The following is a 19,226-nucleotide window of genomic DNA, read 5'->3' as shown; positions in this document are numbered from 1 at the left end:
TCTTCAGGGCTTGAGGGGCCCTGGGGCCTGGCCCTGTTCAGCACAGTGAGACTGGGGGAAAGACACACCTGTCTGGGCCAGTTTCCTCACCTGTGAATTGAAGAGTTGAACAAAACCATCTCAAGGGTCGGAAAATATCTTCTGGGCTTTTACCACATGCCAGGAACTGTTCTAAACTCTTGGGCTACAGCAAGGAACAAAATTGAAAAAGTTCCCTATCCTTGGGGAGCTTGCATTTTAATGGGAAAGAGAGAGACAATAAGTAATAATGCCAGCTACCATTTATTCAGCACCTACTGTGAGTCAAGAGTCAAGCCCTATGCAGGGATTCTGTTTTTTTCCCCTGAGACAAGGTCTCACTCTCTCACCCAGGTTGGAGTGCAGTGGTGTGATCATGGCTCACTGCAGCCTCGACCTCCTGGGCTCGAGTGATCCTCCCATCTCAGCTTCCTGTGTAACTGGGACTATAGGCATGTGCCACCATGCCCGGCTAACTTTTGTGTTTTTTGTAGAGATAAGGTTTTGCCATGTTGCCAAGGCTGGTCTCAAACTCCTGGACTCAAGGGATCCTCTCATCTTGGCCTCCCAGCATGCTGGGATTACAGGTGTGAGCCACCGCACCAGGCCGGGGAACTCCCCTGGCCGTTTTGTTCCTATCTTGTCCTACATCCAGAGCTTGGCATGATGCTGACACACCACAGTTAGCAGGGGCAGGCCCAGGTTTTGTGGGGCTGGGAACTTTTTTTAAGAAAAGTGAGATGCTTACTAGGCCCTTCCCTGTGTGAAGGAGAGGCCCTGAACAGGAAGCTTTAATAGTTTCACCGTAAGTATGGCTCTGGGTTCAGTCAATGACTGTCGAATGAACAAACAGCCTGGTACAGTAGTTTGCCTATTTTACAACTGTGGATGTGGAGGTTCAGAGAGGTGAAGGGACTCACACAAGTTCCTGTGACCAGTGAGTAACAGAGCTGATGGTGATGTGGTTCAGCAGTGAGGGGGAGAATGTGATAATGGCCAGCTGCTGGGTTTGGGATCAAGAAAGACCATGATTGTTGTTTTTGAGACAGAGTCTTGCTCCAGGCTGGAATGCAGTGACACAATCTTACCTCATTGCAACCTTTGCCTCCCTGGTTCAAGCAATTCTCATGACTCAGCCTCCTGAGTAACTGAGATTACAGGCGTGAACCACCACGTCCAACTACTTTTCTGAATTTTTAGTAGAGACAGGGTTTTGCCATGTTGGCCAGGCTGGTCTCAAACTCCTGACCTCAAGTGATCCGCCTGCCTTGGCCTCCCAAAGTGCTGGGATTACAGGCATGAGTCACTGCAGCCAGCCTAGAAAGGCCATGATTTAACTTTTTACCTTTGCATTGGCTTGCTGGTTAACTTTGGCCAATTGTCTTAACCTCTCTGTGCTTTTGTGTCTTGTAAAATGGAGAAAGTAAATACTGCTCGTGCACAGTGGCTGGAGATGATCAAGTAATGCTCATTTGGAGTAAGGGTCTCTCCCTATTGTGTCAGCTCGTGTCTGCCCAGAGGCAAGGTTGGAGTCTCCTCCAGTGCTCTGAGGTCTCTCAGGACTGCCTTGGGACCTGGGAACACAGGCTGAGGACAGATGGGGTGGGTTTGGCACAGGCAGCTGAGAGGCTGCACATTTTTGGAGCGACTGTGCTGCGCCTCTTTTCTGGAGAATGTGGCTCGATAGGCTTCCTTCTCATTCCTCGGAAGCACCTGTTGATATCTGGGAGAGGGGAAGGGCAGGAAAGGCAAGGGGCTCCTGCCAGCACTGGCTGTGTCCAACCTGGATATTTAGGAAAAAATCCAGGACAAACACCATTAACAGCTTCTCTGAGCCTCATACAGGAGGAAACAGGAGGCAGGAAAGGAAGGGGGAAGTATGCTTTGTGAGTCCCCTACTATGTGCCAGGGGCTTATATATGTTTCATAATAGCATATATATATATATATATATATATATATATATATATATATATATACACACACACACACACATACACATAAAGCGCATATATGTACATACTTTCTTTTGTGCCAAGCACTGTGCTTGGCATGTTACCTGTATTAACTCATTTAATCCTTACAAAAACCCATCAAGGTAATAACTATCCCAATTTTACAGATGAGGAAAGCTGAGGCACAGAGGGGTTAAGTAACTTATTCAAGTTCACATGGCAAATAAATGGTGGGGAAACAGGTAGTTTGGCTCTAAAGTCCACATGGGATGACAGTGGTAAAGAAGGTATTACCACGCCCCTTCGACACATGAGAAAACAGGCTCAGTTGAGGCCCAGCCTAGATCATACAGCAAGTGGCAGAGTATGAATTTCAACCCAAGCCCATCTGACTCCAAAGCCCCTGCATTTTCTATTCTACCAAGTTGCTGCCAAGCCCAGGACAGGATTTGAACCTGTGTCACTGTGCTTTTGTGCAATGTCTGGGAGCGAGCCATTTCTGGGATGTTCAAAGTTAAATTCGGGTCTCACCCTGACCCTAGCCCTAACTCCCTTCACCTCAGCTTGCTGCAGCTCCCTGCTCAGAGGAAGTTAGGCTGGGCGGTGCCAAAGGCAGAATGTACCTCAGGCCAAGGTTCTGAGGGTGAGAAGTGACACAGGGATTTGCTCTGTGGGCCCCCACACTCTCCAGCTGGCGCAGTTGTCAGGGACTGTGAACCCCTTTACCGCCACCTCTGTCCAGTCCTGCAGTGTTGCTTGGTGACCCTGAATGAATGAGTGATGGAGGACCAGGCCTTCCCAACATGTCCTCTCTCTGATGGTGTTTGGATGGCTGTGGGCTGAGCTAGTGTCCTTGAGGCCGCAGACCTAGGTATGAGTCCCTGTCTACCACTGTCTGGCTTCATGATGCTGGACAAGCCACTTTCTAAACCTCACTCAGTTTGCTAACAGTTCCTACTTCAAGGGTTATTTTGAGAACACATGTGAAGAGCCCAGCACAGAGCTTAGCATCCAGTAGGTGCTCAATAAATATTCCTGTTTCCTCTTCCCAGGGCCTAAGAGTCTCTCTTTCTTTTCCCTTCTCTCCTGCTTTTTTTTTTCCTTAAATTGTGATAAAATATACATAACATAAAATTTACCACTTTAACAATTGTGTTAAAATGCACAAAATAGGCCTGGTGTGGTGGCTTATGCCTGTAATCCCAGCACTTTGGGAGGCCAAAGTGGGAAGATCGCTTGAGTTGTACAAGAGTTGGAGACCAACCTGGGCAACAGAGTGAGACCCCATCTCTACAAAAAATAAAAAAATTGGCTGGGTGTGGTGGCAGACATCTGTAGTCCCAGCTACTTGGGAGGCTGAGGGGGAGGATCCCTTGAACCCAGGAGTTTGAGGCTGCAGTGAGCCAGCCTAGGTGACAGAGCAAAACTCAGTCTCAAAATATATTCACACATAACATAAAACTGACCATTTTGACCATATTTAAGTGTAGTTCAGGGGCATTAAGTACACTCACATTGCTGTGCAAACACTACTACCATCTACCTCCAGAATGTTCATCATCCCAAACAGAAACTCTGCACCCATTGCTCTCATTCCTCTCTTCCTTCAGCCCTTGGTAACCACTGTTCTGCTTTCTGTCTCTATGAATTTGACCATGCCAGCACCTCCTATAAGTGGAATTGTACAATATTTGCCCTTTTGCGATGGGTTCATTTCACTTAGTCCTGGAGCCCACCTGGTTGGAATTGGAGAGCCACTGCATCCGAGTAGCTGCATGGGCCCTGGGCAGGCCCCTTGCTGCTGGGGCAGGAAGCAGGACTTCTTGTTTGATCAAGTATGCTTATTGCTCCTGACCCAGGGCAGGCCGTGGACAGCTGGACATCTCTGAGCAGAGCTGCTCGAATCTGATGAGATCACTCAGCAGCCTCTTTGGCATGACAGTGAGAATCAAAGGTGATGCTTCTGGAAGACAGCCTGGTGTCCAGGAAGACACTCGGCCTTGGGGGTCACATTCTTCACAATGACGCCTGGCTCTGCCTCTCCCTTGATAAGCTGCTCAACCTCTCTGAGCCCCAGTTTCCACGCCTATCAAATGGGATGAGCCATGGTGCCCACCCCAAAGGGTTGCTGTGCAGATGCAGGGTGACAAGGCACATGCAGCACTGGCACATGACAAGGCACATGCAGCACATGGAGGGGCTGCAGTTACCTGCTTCGGTGACAGCTCAGAAGGCTGGTGGAGACCATGCAAGCCAAAGCCCCCGGGCCCAGTCAGGCTCATGGTTCTCCACCTCTGTGCCCCTCTCAACTAGCGTCTGGTGGTTCTTCAGTATATATATATTAAAGACAGGGTCTCGCTCTGTTGCCCAGGCTGGAGCGCAGTGGTGCAATCATAGCTCACTGCAGCCTCCAGCTCCTGAGCTCAAGGGATCCTCCCATGTCAGTCTCCCAAGTAGCTGGGACTACAGTTTCATGCCATCACGCTGGGCTATTTTTAAAGTTTTTTTTTTTTTTTTTTAATAGAGATGGGATCTTACCAGGTTGCCTAGGCAGGTCTTAAACTCCTGGATTCAAGCAAACCTCATACCTCGGCATCCCAAAGTGCTGGGATTACAGGCATGAGCCACTATGCCTAGCCAGGATATTTTAACAAGAAATAAAATCTCTTCCAGGAATTGGGTAAATAGGTCGCCTTGGGACACTCCCCCTGTTGCAGCACACAGTCTCTGTCTCTACCTGAGGACAGTAGGTACTCCACAGTGGGGGACAGGCCTCTCAGGGCCTCTGGAAAGGCTGCCTGCTGCCTTTTGAGTGTTTTCCAACCTCATGTTCACACACACCTGGCTCTGTGTGTGTGTGTGCCGTGAGCACAGGGGTGCAAAGGTGGTGGCAGTGGCTTACCCATCTATCTTTCTGTTTTTCCTTTTAAGGCCCCCTTTTGTCTTGTGTGTGTGTGTGTGTGTGTGTGTGTTTGTTTGTTTTTTTTTTTTGGAGACAGAGTCTCACCCTGTCCCCCAGGCTAGAATGCAGTAGTGTTATCTCGGCTCACTGCAACCTCTGTCTCCCGGATTCAAGTGATTCTCTTGCCTCAGCTTCCCTAGTAGCTTGGGTTACAGGCACCCACCACCATGCCTGGCTAATTTTTGTATTTTTAGTAGACAGGGTTTCACCATGTTGGCCAGGCTGGTCTTGAACTCCTGACCTCAGGTGATCCACCCACCTCAGCCTCCCAAAGTGCCGGGATTACAGGCATGAGCCACCGCACCCAGCCATCCTTTTTTTCTTGCCAGGGAGTCACAGGTCTCTCTTGGAATGCATTTCCAGTGTAGCGGCTGTTACTGAAAAAGATCGTGGGTGGAGGGCCATGGCTGCAGGAGGGTTAACAGTGCCACAGGGTTCCAGAGCAGCCCATGCTTCTCAAACTGGAGTGTGCCCACATATCACCTGGGATCCTTTACAATGCAGGCTCTGATTCAGTGGATCTGGGGTGGGGCCTGAGAGTCTAATTTCTGATCAGCTCCCAAGAGGTGCGTGTGCTGCTGGTTTGGGGGCCGCACTTTGGGAAGCAAGGCCAGATCTCCTTGTCCTTCAAAGCGCTGTGGCCCCTGGGGTTTGCCACAGGCTGCTTGGCTGTGCATGGTGGCCACCTCCCGCCCACCCTGGCTCCTCGTTCTGCGTTTCCTTCCTGCCTTTGGCCCTTTCCTTCATGCTAAGCTTCTGTAGCAACAACTCCCAAAGCCTGCCCCTGGCCCTCAGCTGTATTTCTGAACTCAATTACTGTATGAGAAGAAAGAATTTTAACTTTAATGATAATAGGAGCAATAATCCTCCATTGCAGGAAACTTGGAAATTACTAAAAAGCATATGAGAGAAGAATGAAAATTATCCAGAACCCCTTAGCCCAGGGAGAACAGCCGAGATTCTGATTCATTCCTTTACCTTCTTTTATCTTGCATATCTATGTCTTAAAACATAATTGAAATAATAGAAAATAAAAACAGACATTGCTCCTTTCTACAAAAGAAGCACATAGCCTCTTGTATCTGCTACACTATATCCTGCCTTCCTGTTTTATTACTGGGTCTTTGAAAAATGAGAAAATGACTATTCCATAGGCAATAATAATTAAAAATGTTTATTGAATCCTTAGGATTTGAGGTGCTGGGGTAACTCATGTTCATTATATCAATTTAATGTCATCCTATCATTTGTTTAACTGGCCTTCTAGATAAATAATGTAATAATAAACATCTTTGTGCAAGCATTTTTATTTTCTTTCTGATTATTTATTAGACCAGGGGTTGGGAAATGTTTTGTAAAGAGCCAGATAAGGAATATTTCTGTTTAGTGGGCCACACAGTCTCTGTCACACTTCTCAACTCTGCCATGGAAGCACAAAAGCAGCTCTAAACTCTGTAAACAAACGCATGTGGTGAGTTCCAATAAAACTTCATTCACAAAAACGGGTGGCTGGTTAGATTTGGGGCCGTAGTTTCCTGACCCTGCTTTAGATTAGAAGCAGTCCAGGACTGGCAGATTTTTTCAGTAAAAGGCAGATAGAAAATATTTTAGGCTGTGCCAAATACGGTCTCTGCCACTGCAGTGAATGTCTCCCCCTCCTCTCCCTACTCCTTTTCCTCAACCTCCTTTGTCTTCTTCCTCCATTTCTTCCCCCTTATTCCTTTTCTTCCTCCTCCCTTCTTTTTTTTTTTTTTTTCTTTTTGAGACGGAGTCTCACTCTGTCGCCCAGGCTGGAGTGCAGTGGTGCAATCTCAACTCACTGCAAGCTCAGCTTCCCGGGTTCATGCCATTCTCCTGCCTCAGCCTCCTGAGTAGCTGGGACTACAGGCGCCCACCACCACGCCCAGCTAATTTTTTGTATTTTTAGTAGAGACGGGGTTTCATCGTGTTAGGCAGGATGGTCTCGATCTCCTGACCTCGTGATCTGCCTGCCTCGGCCTCCTAAAGTGCTGGGATTACAGGCATGAGCCACCGCGCCTGGCCTTCTTCTCCCTTCTTATTCTTCCAACCTTTAAAACATGTAAAAACCAGCCAGGCGCAGTAATCCCAGCACTTTGGGAGGCCGAGGCAGGCGGATCACTTGAGGTCAGGAGTTGGAGACCATTCTGGCCAACATAGCAAAACCCCGTTTCTACTAAAAATACATAAATTAGCTGGGCGTGGTGGTGGGTGCCTGTAATCCCAGTTACTCAGGAGGCTGAGGCAGGAGAATCACTTGAACCTGGGAGGCAGAGGTTGGAGTGAGCTGAGATCATGCCACTGCACTACAGCCTAGGCGACAGAGTGAGACTCTGTCTCAAAAAAATAAATAAATAAATTCACATTGCTTTGATTACTAACAAGCTGGCCATTTTTCTTATTATCCATTTATATTTCCTATTCTGAATTTTTTTTGTGTGTTCTTTTTCTCTGAGATCTTGTTTTTTCCTTTTTGGTTTTGCATGGCCTTTTAACAAAGAAAGGATTTTAAATGTTGTCATATTTGTTGCAATTATTTCCCCAGTCTTTCATTTTGCCTTTTGATTGTATTTATGATTATTCCCATGGATAGAGGTGCTTAATTTGCATTTATCTTTTCCTTTGTGAGTTTCATTTTCTCCTTGAAACATTGCTATTTGGGCTTGTGACAGTTGGCTTATCCTGCCTTGTTCTCAGCCTCTTGATATCTCACAAACAGTTCAGAGATACAGTGGAGAAAGGTATAAATTAGAGGTGCTTTCAGCTGCACCTCACAGAAAATCTGATAAAATAGTGGTTTAAGCTAGTGGTTCTCAAACTTAGCACATGCCAGAATTACTTGGGGGCACTTGGTAAAACTCAATTTTCAGGGTCCCATTTTGGTTTTGCTTTGTTTTTTTGTTTTTGAGACAGAGCCTTGCTTTGTTCCCCAGGCTTGGGTACAGTGGCGTGATCTCAGCTCACTGCAACCTCTGCCTTAGGGTCCCACTTTAAAGAGTCAAGTTCTATTGGTCTGGGCAGGGCCTGAGAATGTACATTTCTAACTCTCCCAAGTGGTGCTGAAGCTGTGGGTCTGGGGACACACTTGGAGAACCACTGGCTTAAGCAACTAAAACATTAAATTACCTCATAAGGCCAGGTATGGTGGCTCACACCTATAATCCCAGCACTTTGGGAGGCCAAAGCAGGAGGATTGCTCAAGGCCAGGAATTTGAGACCAGCCTGGGCAATAAAGCAAGGCTTGGTCTCTACAAAAACAAAACAAAACAAAACAAAAAACAGCCAGGTGTGGTGGCAAGTGCCTGTAGTACTGGCAACATGGGAGGCTGAGGTAGGAGGATCACTTGAGCCCAGGAGTTCAAGGTTGCAGTGAGCTATGACTGTGCCACTGTACCCCACCCTGGGTGACAGAGTGACATCCTGTCTCAAAAGAAGTAAATACATAAAAATAAATTACTTCATAGAACAAAAAGTCCAGATGAGAGCAGTCTCTGGCTTGGTTTAACAGCTCAGTAATATCAGGATCTGGGTCAAGTCTTTACTTTTCTCCTGGCCTTTGTCCTCAGGACTGCAAGGTGGCTGCCATAGCTCTAAGCATTTATAGTTACATTAACATTCCAAGCAGGAAGAAGGGGGCTGGTGGAAGAGGCTTGTCTTTTAACAGGATTGGGCACATTGCTGCTTTGACTGCAACTTGTAAGCAAACATCTGATAAAGAAGAGAGGGTGGGTTTTGGTTCACAGATGGTCTCTGCCCTCAGGGCTTTCCTGCATGATGTGGAAAGGAGGATAGTGTGGGCCCCCGGACTCCCAGCCACAGGCCCAGTGATGTCCCCTGTCAGGATATCCTTCAGAAGAACCCAGTTTCAAGGCAGCTTGGCCTCCAAGCAGGTTCTGATTTTGGCCTCACTGAAGTGATTGGAGTTCTGCCGTGTTTCTGATACAAAGGGTGGACTGGCCCCCTATTCTGGTGTTTGGACACTTTCTCGCCTGAATGCCTGATGAAATAATTGGCCCGAGTCTCTCTAAGTTGAGAACTCTGCTTGCTTCTGCCAGTTCTTCTCCTGGTTAGGAATCCTATCCCCAGATAGGAGTCTAGAGCTGTGAATCTTGCCACACATTAGCAGCCATGCTGAGTGCCATCTGGCTTCCCCGAGATGTCTCTCAGCTGCTGCCAAAGCCCCCTGACAGCGGGGTGGGTTGGGATGGCAGAACCTTTGCAGGATTGCCTGGATTGATGGGGTGCTGCACTTTGCCTGCTGATCCAGCTTTCTCTTATTGTTTATATCTGGTGTTTGAATGACTTGTAACCTTCCTTGGAGGCCAGGGCTGGCTCAACTGGCACCATCTGGAGTGGGAAATGGGAGGAGGAGTTCCCATCTCAGAAGATAGGAAATACCAAAGGCACAGAGGAATGGGCTAAAGCAGTGCCTGTAATAAAGTGCCAACATGCGGTGCAGGGCAGGGCGAGGTAACCTAACTCCAGAGGGGTCGAAGGTGCCTTATCTGGTAGGATGCTAGCAGTGTCAAGTGAAGAAAACTGGACCCAAATAAAAACGTTAAGTGGGAAGTCCAGGGGTAAGCCTGGCCTTAAGCATGGCTCATTGCATTGGTTCAAATGGTTTCACAAGACTCCAGCTTTCCATCTTTCAGTTTGGTTTCCTCTGTGTTCACTTCTTTCTCAAACTGGCTGTGCCCTCATGGCCACAAGGTGACTGCCAGCAGTTCTAGGGTGTACATTCTTCTCATTTTCTTTCCAGAGGAGAAAAAGAAAATCCTCTTCCTTGATGGCACAAACCAAAGTCCCAGAATTGAGATGTGTTAGCCCTGATGGGGGGCTCATTGCGCTTCCCTGAAACCAACCACAAGGGCCAGGTAAATGTGATAAGTGGCTTGGTTAAAGGTTGGGTTACAGGATTCAACCCTAGACTTGGGGGTAGTGTCATTCCCACCCACACCACATGGCTGAAAATGAGGCAAGTATGCTTCTAAAGGATATTCAGGGGCATTGCTAATGGGAGGAGAGAGTGGATGTGGGGAGGCAGCCCATAAGTGTTCATCCTTATTGGAGTTGAACTTGGGGGTCACAGCTGGGCATGTATGGTAATGGCAGGATCTTTTTTTTTCTTGAGATGGAGTCTCACTCTGTCACCCAGGCTGGAGTGCAGTAGCGCAATCTCGGCTCACTGTAACCTCTGCCTCTGGGGTTCAAGTGATTCTGCCTCAACCTCCCGAGTAGCTGGGACTACAGGAGCATGCCACCACACCCAGCTAATTATTGTATTTTTAGTACAGATGGGGTTTCACCATGTTGGTCAGGCTGGTCTCGAACTCCTGACCTTGTGATCCGCCCACCTTGGCCTCCCAAAGTGCTGGGATTGCAGGCATGAGCCACCATGCCTGGCCTTTTGGCAGGATCTTAAAATCAGGAAAAAGCATGCAAGGATCAGTGCATAGAGAGGAAGGGGTGCTGATAATTGCCTTGACCACCAACGATGTGATGTGTTACTGGTTGGGCTGGCTTAAAGGGCCAGGGACAGCAGGCACCTCGCTCTGGTCCCTCTCCTCTCCTAGCATCTGCTTCAGCCGAGTTTGCAGGTCTAGTTCTGGGTCTCAGGGCCTCCCAGGCTGCCCATTCTGCTGCAGTTAACTCCTCCAGACCTGGGATGAGATTGACATCCTCCTACTCAAGGAACACAGGATTCAATTAACCAGTGTGTTTATTTTCTTGGCAATAAAAATGCTGTTTAGAACATTCATTGCCATTCAGGACAATGCCTCCTTGAAAAGTCCTTTGGGCTTACTGCCCTTGTTATTCTCTGTAACTCAAATATAACTTGTCAGCCCCATGTGATATATTTCAGCTTGAGTTTAGTCCCAGAAAAAAAAGCTTGTGGCCACAGCTGCATGCGAATGCTTTCTGTCACCAGAGGACAAAACCAATGTAAAGTGAACATTTTTTCCACATAGGGCCAAATATAGCATCCAAGTCGGAAATTGGCATTCTTCAGGTGTCTGCTGGTGTCTGCTCTCTCTGCTACCTTTATGGTCTTTGTTCCTTTTTGTCCCTAATAATCACAGTCACCATTGTGTTTAGTTTTGTGAGCCTCCTAAATGTTTTTGGAATCAGAGTAAATTCAAGGGAAGTAAATAAATAACGTGATTTGTTGATTTGTTTTCCCTTATGTGTTCATTGTCTCAGCATGGAAGAGAAAAATGCATAATTGAAACATAAACTTTGTCTGATTAAGATCAAATGAGATCAAATAAAATTCTCTTATTCATCCTCCTTTTTTTCTCTTTGCTCTCTTTTCTGTGTTCCTCCCTCCCTCCCTCCACCCTCTCCTCTTTCCATTGTGAAAAAGTGTTTGATCCCTTTTCTGAAGGGGAAAGATAAATGTTGGGAGCTCAGAAGTGGCTGCTGCAACATGCCTGCTTCTCAGCTTCCTCTGGGGTGGAAATGCACTTAAAACTTTCAGTTTGCAAAGTGGCTGCCAAAGCCACAGCATTGGGAGGGAGGAGGGGACTCCGGATCTGGGAGGACAAGCTGGAGCCAGGCAGTGGGGATGGGGGTGGGTACATCTTGCAGAGTCCATCCCTTGGGAGTACCCTGGAGGCCTAAAAGGGAGTGTCGGTCTCAATGGTTAAGAGTGTAGACCCCTTGACTTCAGCCTTGAGTGAGTTTTAGCTTCCATCCTGTTACTCTATTAAAACCCATAGAAGTTCCCTGTTTCCTTTCTTTTCTTTCTTTCTTTTTTTTTTTCAGAGAGAGTCTCACTCCGTTGCCCAGGCTGGAGTGCAGTGGTACGATCTCGGCTCACTGCAACCTCTGCCTTTCAGATTCAAGCGATTCTCCTGCCTCAGCCTCCCGAGTAGCTGGGACTACAGGTGCATGTGACCACGCCTGGCTAATTTTTTGTATTTTTAGTAGAAACGGGGTTTCACCGTGTTGGCCAGGATAGTCTCAATCTCCTGACCTTGTGATCCATCTGCCTCAGCCTCCCAAAGTGCTGGGATTACAGGCATGAGCCACTGCGCCTGGCGTCCTTCTTCATTAAGGTCAACCTCTTTCTGGCTTGCAAAACTCTCCATAATCTAGTTGCATCCTGCCAAGAACACCTTTATCACTATTAACACCCAACACAACCCTTAGCTTTTGTTTTCATCTTACACTCCCAACACAGACACACACATTCTATTTCACTGGGTTTGAACAGAAGATCTGAACCTTTCAGCCCACTTCTCCCTGCTCTAGATTTGGGGCAAGCCCTATAACCATTGTAAGCCTTGGGTTCTCTTCAGGCAATGGAACAAGTGGATATTTACTGAGTTCTACAAGCACGGCATCTATTTCCATCTGTACTGTTTCTTTGGTAACCATACCCTAATTTTCCTCTGGGAACATCCCCACCTGACTTTTGGTCCATGGACCTCTGGGTGGAGTTAGTTCATGCTCAGCTTCAAGAATAGAATCTGTAATCTAGTCTAAAGCTAAACAGTGCAGCCCCAGCTTCCATTCTCCCTGATCGGTTGGTTGGTGGGCAGGTGACCTAAGGTGGTGAATCTCAGGGCTTGTGCTGGAAATGCTGGACACAGATACTTGCTCTTTTCAGCTGGATTTATTTATTTATTTATTTATTTATTGAGACAGTCTCACCTCTGTCACCCAGGCTGGAGTGCAGTGGTGCAATCTCAGCTCACTGCAGCCTCCATCTCCCGGGTTCAAGCAATTCTCCTGCCTTGGCCTCCCAAGTAGCTGGGATTACAGGCACCTACTACGCCTGCCTAATTTTTGTATTTTTAGTAGAGATGGGGTCTCACCATGCTGGCCAGGCTGGTCTCGAACTCCTGACCTCAAATGATCCACCTGCCTCAGCCTCCCAAAGTTCTTGGATTACAGGGGTGAGCCACCGTGCCTGGCTCAGCTGGATTCGAATTTGGAAGGATGTGGTTGCGGTAGCTGAACTGCAGGATCAGGTCTGAGAAGGCACCATCCCGAGGGAGCAGAGCTGAGCTAGGGAGAAAGAACCTGGTCCCAGCCAATGTTGGAGCACTGTTTCCCCCAGCTAGAATGACTGCTGCTACCTGGGTTCCTTCTCTCCTCCCTCTGTCCAAATCCTTCCTGACCTTCCTGACCAGCACAAAATCGCTTCCTCTGGGACTCTGATCACTGACCCCTCCAGCCCTCATTGGTACCTATAACCCAGGACATCAGTGACACCACCCAGTTCAACTCCTGGTTATATGTGGGCCTCTGTGGCTTCTAGTGGGCTATTTAGGTGTTTTCAATAGAGTGAGTGTTTCTTTGAGGTTAGGCCTCTGTGAATCCTTGGTGTCTAGCATGGTCTAAGTACCCTGGAGGTGCAGAATCCATATTTCCTGTTCGGTGTCCTTATGGGCCTTTTTTTTTTTTTTTTTTTTTTTTTTTTTTTTGCAGAGGTTGTGTTTTTGAAGCATCTAACACTGTCTGGCACACAGAAAGGCAGGTAGGGCCATGAGAACAGTGTGGGCTTTAGATTCAAATCCCTGTGTTGCCCTGTAGAGCTGTGTGACCTTTGGCAAGTCACCTAAGTTCTATCAGCTTCTGTTTCTTCAGTGTAACATGAAGCTACAATATTTCCCACACAGACCTTGTATTTTTTTTAAATAGTTGGTGTAGCGGTGCTAAGTAGATGTGTGTTCCTTCCCCTGCCTTCCCAATGCTGGTGGAGGCAGCTATTACACAGACGAGATGCAGAGACAGTTGAGAGATTGATACGTTGGGGTCTGGAATATTTGGGGATAACTGGCATTCCTAGACAATCTCTAAGTTTGCTTTGGTCAATGGTACTGACCCAGAGCCCTCCATATCCAAAGGGGACCCAGGCTGCTAGTAAATAAGTAATGACTAAAGAACTATTCAGCCAGGCTTTATTTGGACACAACTGATATGCCCAAATCCAACTCAAGGCTCACTTCAAACATTGCCTCCTCCAGGAAGCCCTTTTTAATCCCTCCTTAATCCCAGGACCTGGACATATCTTTCTGTTTAGTTTGATTGGTTTCTTTTCTTGATGGGGAGTGTCAGCCAGCACATAGTAAACTCTTATTAATCGTTTGTTGAACAACTGAATGAATACATTTTCATCCAGTACAGGGGGTCTAAGGAAACAGTGAAGTGCCCTGTAAGACTGAAGCAAGAAAGAGATCCAGAGGGGATCGCAGAGAGTCCACAGCAGGCTCTCTGGATAATGGAAAGGGGTCCTGATTTTGCCATTTTTCTTCCCGCTCCCAATTTTACATAGCATAACCAGTGAGCACTTGAGCTTGAACTTAGATCTGGGTTAAATTCCTAACTCTGCCACCTACTAGCTGAATGACTTTAAGTAAGTTACTTGCCCTCTCTCAGCCATCAGGATGCAGCCCAGTTAGCTTTCATTATGGCTTTGCAGAAGCAGCCCTCCTCCAAGGCGTCACCTTCCCCTCGTGCCCCTTTGGGGCTATTCTCTTCCCTCCAGGCTGCCTGCCATTTACACATCTGAAAAATATGCAGGCCAATGGAAATACACATCCTCCAATCTGCCTGCTCCTCATGCAGGGAATTAAAATCTGTCTCATCGTCCCACTTTGGAATGCTGAGTATTTGGTCAAGGATTCAGCTTCCCTTTTTTATGAGGCTTTAAGAAAACCCAAATTAAACCCTGATTTGTTTTTAAAGATCGGAATCTTAATCTTTCAGCATTTGGCTCATTTTCTTTACAGGCTTAGAAAGCAACATTAAACAGATTATGTTTCTTAGTGTACTCTGCTTTTTCTCTGGTGTGTGCTGGGGGGTGGCACATGGGGCAACATTTTGTCTCATAAGAGAAAACTTTAGAGACTGCTGTGTGTCTTTCTGTACTATTCTAGCTTGCTGTGTGACCTTGGCCAAGCCCCTTGACTTCTCTGAGCTTTCATGTCCTCATCTGTAGAATGAGAGGGCTGAACATTAAGGCCTGTGCACTCCTCAAGGGCAGGAGATCATATAGAACTCCCATATTTCAAACTGGGGCTCAGAGAAGGGAAGAGTCTTACCTAAGGGCACACAGCCATTTAACGGGCAGAACTGGGTAAGGGGTTCTGGCTTCTAGGACAGCCCTCTATTCACTAGAAACCCTACTTTCTCTGAGAAAGAAATATGGGGTCAATATACAATGATTCCTGTATAATTTTTTCTTTTTTTTTCCCCCGCTCTTTTTGCCCAGGCTGGATTGCAATGGCACAATCTCGGCTCACTGCAACCTCCGTCTCCCTGGTTCAAGCGATTCTCCTCCCTCGGCCTCCCAAGTAGCTGGGATTACAGGCGTGCTCCATCACACCTGGCTAATGTTTGTATTTTTAGTAGAGATGGAGTTTCACCATTTTGGCCCGGCTGGTCTTGAACTCCTGACCTCAGATGATCCACCCACCTTGGCCTCCCAAAGTGCTGAGATTACAGCCATGAACCACTGCACCTGGCCTGATTCCTGTATAATTTTCAAACTCTTTCCCTTCATGAGTAGAGTCCAGTAGACTTCAAGATGAGGTTTGTGTTTTAGATGCTGTTAAAAAGAAGGAAGAGAAGGAGAATTGAGAAAATCTAGAAATGAGGATAAGACATGTTGCCACTATTCTGTGGTTCATTGTCGGATATACCAAGAAGAAAAATCTTTGATTCAAACCAAAATGGTATGAGAAGCAGCAGATCTCATGACATCTCCTCCAGCCTCTGATAATGGCCTATCGGGTAACCGACTATCCCAGTTTGCCCAGGACGAAAGAGTTTCCTGGGACCTGGGACTTTCAGTGCTAAAATCTGGAAAGTCCTGGAAAGTCTACGTAAGCTGGGATGAATTGTTCATTCTCATGGCCAGCTGGTAACCAAAGAGAAAGGCCTTCTAACAGAGTGAGCTTTGACTGGTGTGATTACTGGCTCTGCTACTTACATGACAGCTTTGAGAGGGCCAAGCTGTCTGAACCTTAGTATTCTCATCTGGCAATTGGATTTAAATGAGGTAATTCACCAAAGATGCCTCCTTCAGTGCTTGGCACAGATTAATCATGCAATGAGTAAGTATCTCTCCTTCTGGGGAAAAAACATCTTAAAGAAAATTCCAGGCACATGGAAGAAGAGGTACAGATAATGTGTTTAAGGAAGGATTTTATAAGTCATGCAATATTTTCCTCCAGGCTGGGTATGTTGGGATGAATTACTACATCTTTTTTGTTGAATTCTTAGGCAAAGCAACCATGTTGTCACTACTTTCTCTTTTTCTTAAAAAGTTTAGAGAAGTCATGAATCAGCTTTGGGGTGTGGGAGGGAGAGTGGGGTCCAACCCTAAGTGGCATAGCTGGGAGACTGAAAGAGGAGGATCATTGTCATGAGACCTAGTTTAAAATCTCCACTCTGCCACATTCTGACTGCCACTGTGATTTCCACCTGTAGCAGGTGAATGACCATACACACTCGGTAAGGTTTTCATGTGGCCCAGGTTAGAGTTGATGCTTGGTATCTCATGGGAGCTCAATTTATGTTTTAGTCTTCCCTATTCAGATTCATGTCTCAGAGACCTTGGAGGGACTCAGGGTCTTCCCTGTGACATTCAAGGCTGCATTAAAACAGGGTTTGGAGATGGTGTGTTGGGTTGGGAAGCCAGCTTCCTGATAGGGAACAGATGATTTCCCCACAGAGACCTGGAAGTAAAGCCCCAAACCCTTGGCCCCAGAGGCTCAGAACTACAATGCCACTCTGTTGGCAGCTGGGCTCTGTGTTCTGGCCAATCTCAATGAAGAAAAGGTCAGCAACCCTGAAATCAAAGTCAGCCACCCCACAGACCTCCCTGGCAGGCTAGTCCTGGCATTGTTGCACATTTTAGAGCTCTTTATCTTCATCTATTCCCAAGCCTGCACTTGGGAGCTGCAGTTGGGATCTGGGGAGCTCTGCAGGCTCTTAGGAGGGCTGAGGGGCTGAAGTTCTGGCCTCCTCTCTTTTCCCAGGGGGTTTGAGCAGCGGCAGGAAAGCTGCTACGTGACCTTTGTTTATGAGCATGTACGATGTGCCTAGCACGTGCTCGATGCTTTAGGTGTATTATCTCATTTAACTCTCACCCCAGCTCTGGGAGGAAATCGGAACACTTACCACCAGTTGGCGCACTGTATATTTACATGGCAGTGTGGTTGTGTGTTTTCTTCTGTCTCCCCGCCCTATTTGTAAACGTCAGGAGGACAGTGACTTTGTCTGTTTTATTTAAGGCTGTATCCCTAGCACTTGGGTGTCTGGCATTTATCAGGTACTCAATAAATATTTGTTGGCTGACTGACCAGAGCTCCAAGGGGTGGAAGAACCTGATTAATTTCACACAGCTGTAGTGATGGGAGAACCCAGAGTCTCTAACACCAGAATCTTAAACCCTGTCCTGTACTCATGATTAACCCAGAAATTAGGCTGAGGTGAGCTAGGGTGTATCTGTTTCTTTCAAAACATTTAAAATAAACCATTCTAAAAATATAGAACATTTACAAAATGGGAAAAGGAAAAATCACCCGTATAATATCACCACTCTAACAGACTACAAATATAATTTTGTTGTAGGTCCTTTTTTTCCTAAATATATTTTTTAAAAACTAATGAGTAATCTTAATGAACACAAATTCACTTCCTACTCTTGATGTTTTATCATGTTATTCCCTTGTCTTTATTATATTCTTTCTAAATGACTGCATAATAAATAGTTCATAAGCAACTATGTCCCTGTTAACATAGCCATTCCCTATTGCTGGGTACCTAGGTGGCTTCCATAATAAGTAAGACATTGTGATGTTTGAGTATAAACTTAATCATGTGTTTTTTTATTTGTTAAGATAGTTTCTTAAAGTGAAATTATTAGGTTAAAAGGGATGTCTTTCCTAGAGAGCCCCAAAATTTCTGGAAGGGACTTCAGTTCTTGGAAATTTATTCTCAGGAATGGGAGCAATAGTCTGTTAAAATATATATTATGTCCTTAAATATCCCCAGTGAAACTCTCACCCACATGCTGGAATGTCACTATGGCAACAGAAGAGACAGGGTTTCACTGACAACGGGCTCAAGTAAGCCTTCAGGGAGACTTCATCTTGCTTCACAGGTGAGATTTCCTGAGGAGTTGAGCCATTTAAAGAAAATTTGAAAACATTTTGAAGTAGATCTTCCTAAACTTCATCCCGCTCTTCTTTGCCTTAGCAAATAGCCTCCTGATAGGACAGACCCTTCCTCAAACATCAGGGTCGATCAAGCCACCAGTTATTGCCCTATGGTGCCATAATTGCTGCCATTTTTGATATCAAAACAACTTCTGGAGCCAGAGCTAATGGCGGAGAAGCAAACAGAACCTTCTGACCTCACCAAGGGGGTGGTGGTGGCATGTCTCACATAGTTCAGTGGGAGACAGAAATAAATTTCAGCTTTGGCTGGGTGTCAGCTTCCCTGCATAGACCAGGGAGGGGCAGGCTCCAGTGCTGGCGGCAGCTTCAGATACTCTGGTTGTTATACTTTCAGCTTAGTAAATTTGGTTATTCTACCAGGTTCTTTTTCAACTCTGCTACATGGCCCATTTTTTCAAGTTTTGACTTTTCCCTCTTTGAAGTAGGCATAGCTGTTTTAGAGTCCTGTCTGACAGTGCCAGGAGCTACAGTCCCTGTTCATGTCTGTCTTTTGTCCATTTTTTATACTGGTTTTCACTCATGATGTCTTGTTTCCTTGTGTACTTGGTTATCTTTGAGTGCAGGATATTGTGTCTGAAAAAAGTGTGTGTGGGAATAATTCAAGGCCTGGGATAAAGTTGACTTTTTTTTTTTTTTGAGATGGAGTCTTGCTCTGTCGCCCAGGATGGAGTGGAGTGGTGCGATCTCGGCTCACTGCAACCTCTGTCTCCTGGGTTAAAGTGATTTTCCTGCCTCAGCCTCCTGAGTAGCTGGGAATTACAGGCATGCGCCATCATGCCTGGCTAATTTTTGTATTTTTAGTAGAGATGTTGGCCAGGCTGGTCTTGAACTCCTGACCTCAAGTGATCTGCCCACCCTGGCCTTCCAAAGTGCTGGGATTACAGGCATGAGCCATCATGCCCGGCCTTGTCTTCCTCTAAAAAAGGTTTTTATTTGTTTTGCGGGCGTCTCACAGGGCTCTAGAATCTGAGACTTCTCCCCTCCCTCCCTCCCTCCCTCACTTCTCTCTTTCTCTCTCTCTCTCTCCCTTCTTTCCTTTCTCTTCTTTTCTTCTTTTTCAGGGCCTTGCTCTCTTGC

At 46.5% G+C, this 19,226-nt stretch overlaps 1 annotated feature.

Annotated features, from left to right (window-relative positions):
* Positions 877-1,171: a silencer, noted in NCBI's record as "tiled region #6529; HepG2 Repressive non-DNase unmatched - State 8:EnhW, and K562 Repressive non-DNase unmatched - State 22:ReprW". NCBI's record gives its function as "represses a minimal TATA promoter and a strong SV40 promoter by Sharpr-MPRA in HepG2 and K562 cells {active_cell/tissue: HepG2 | K562}" and the evidence as "EXISTENCE:reporter gene assay evidence [ECO:0000049][PMID:27701403]".

Source organism: Homo sapiens, chromosome 17, assembly GCF_000001405.40.
Source record: "Homo sapiens chromosome 17, GRCh38.p14 Primary Assembly".
In the NCBI taxonomy this organism is placed as follows: domain Eukaryota; kingdom Metazoa; phylum Chordata; class Mammalia; order Primates; family Hominidae; genus Homo; species Homo sapiens.
The sequence above is the reverse complement of the archived record's forward strand: the minus strand, read 5'-3'. Positions and strand labels throughout refer to the sequence as shown.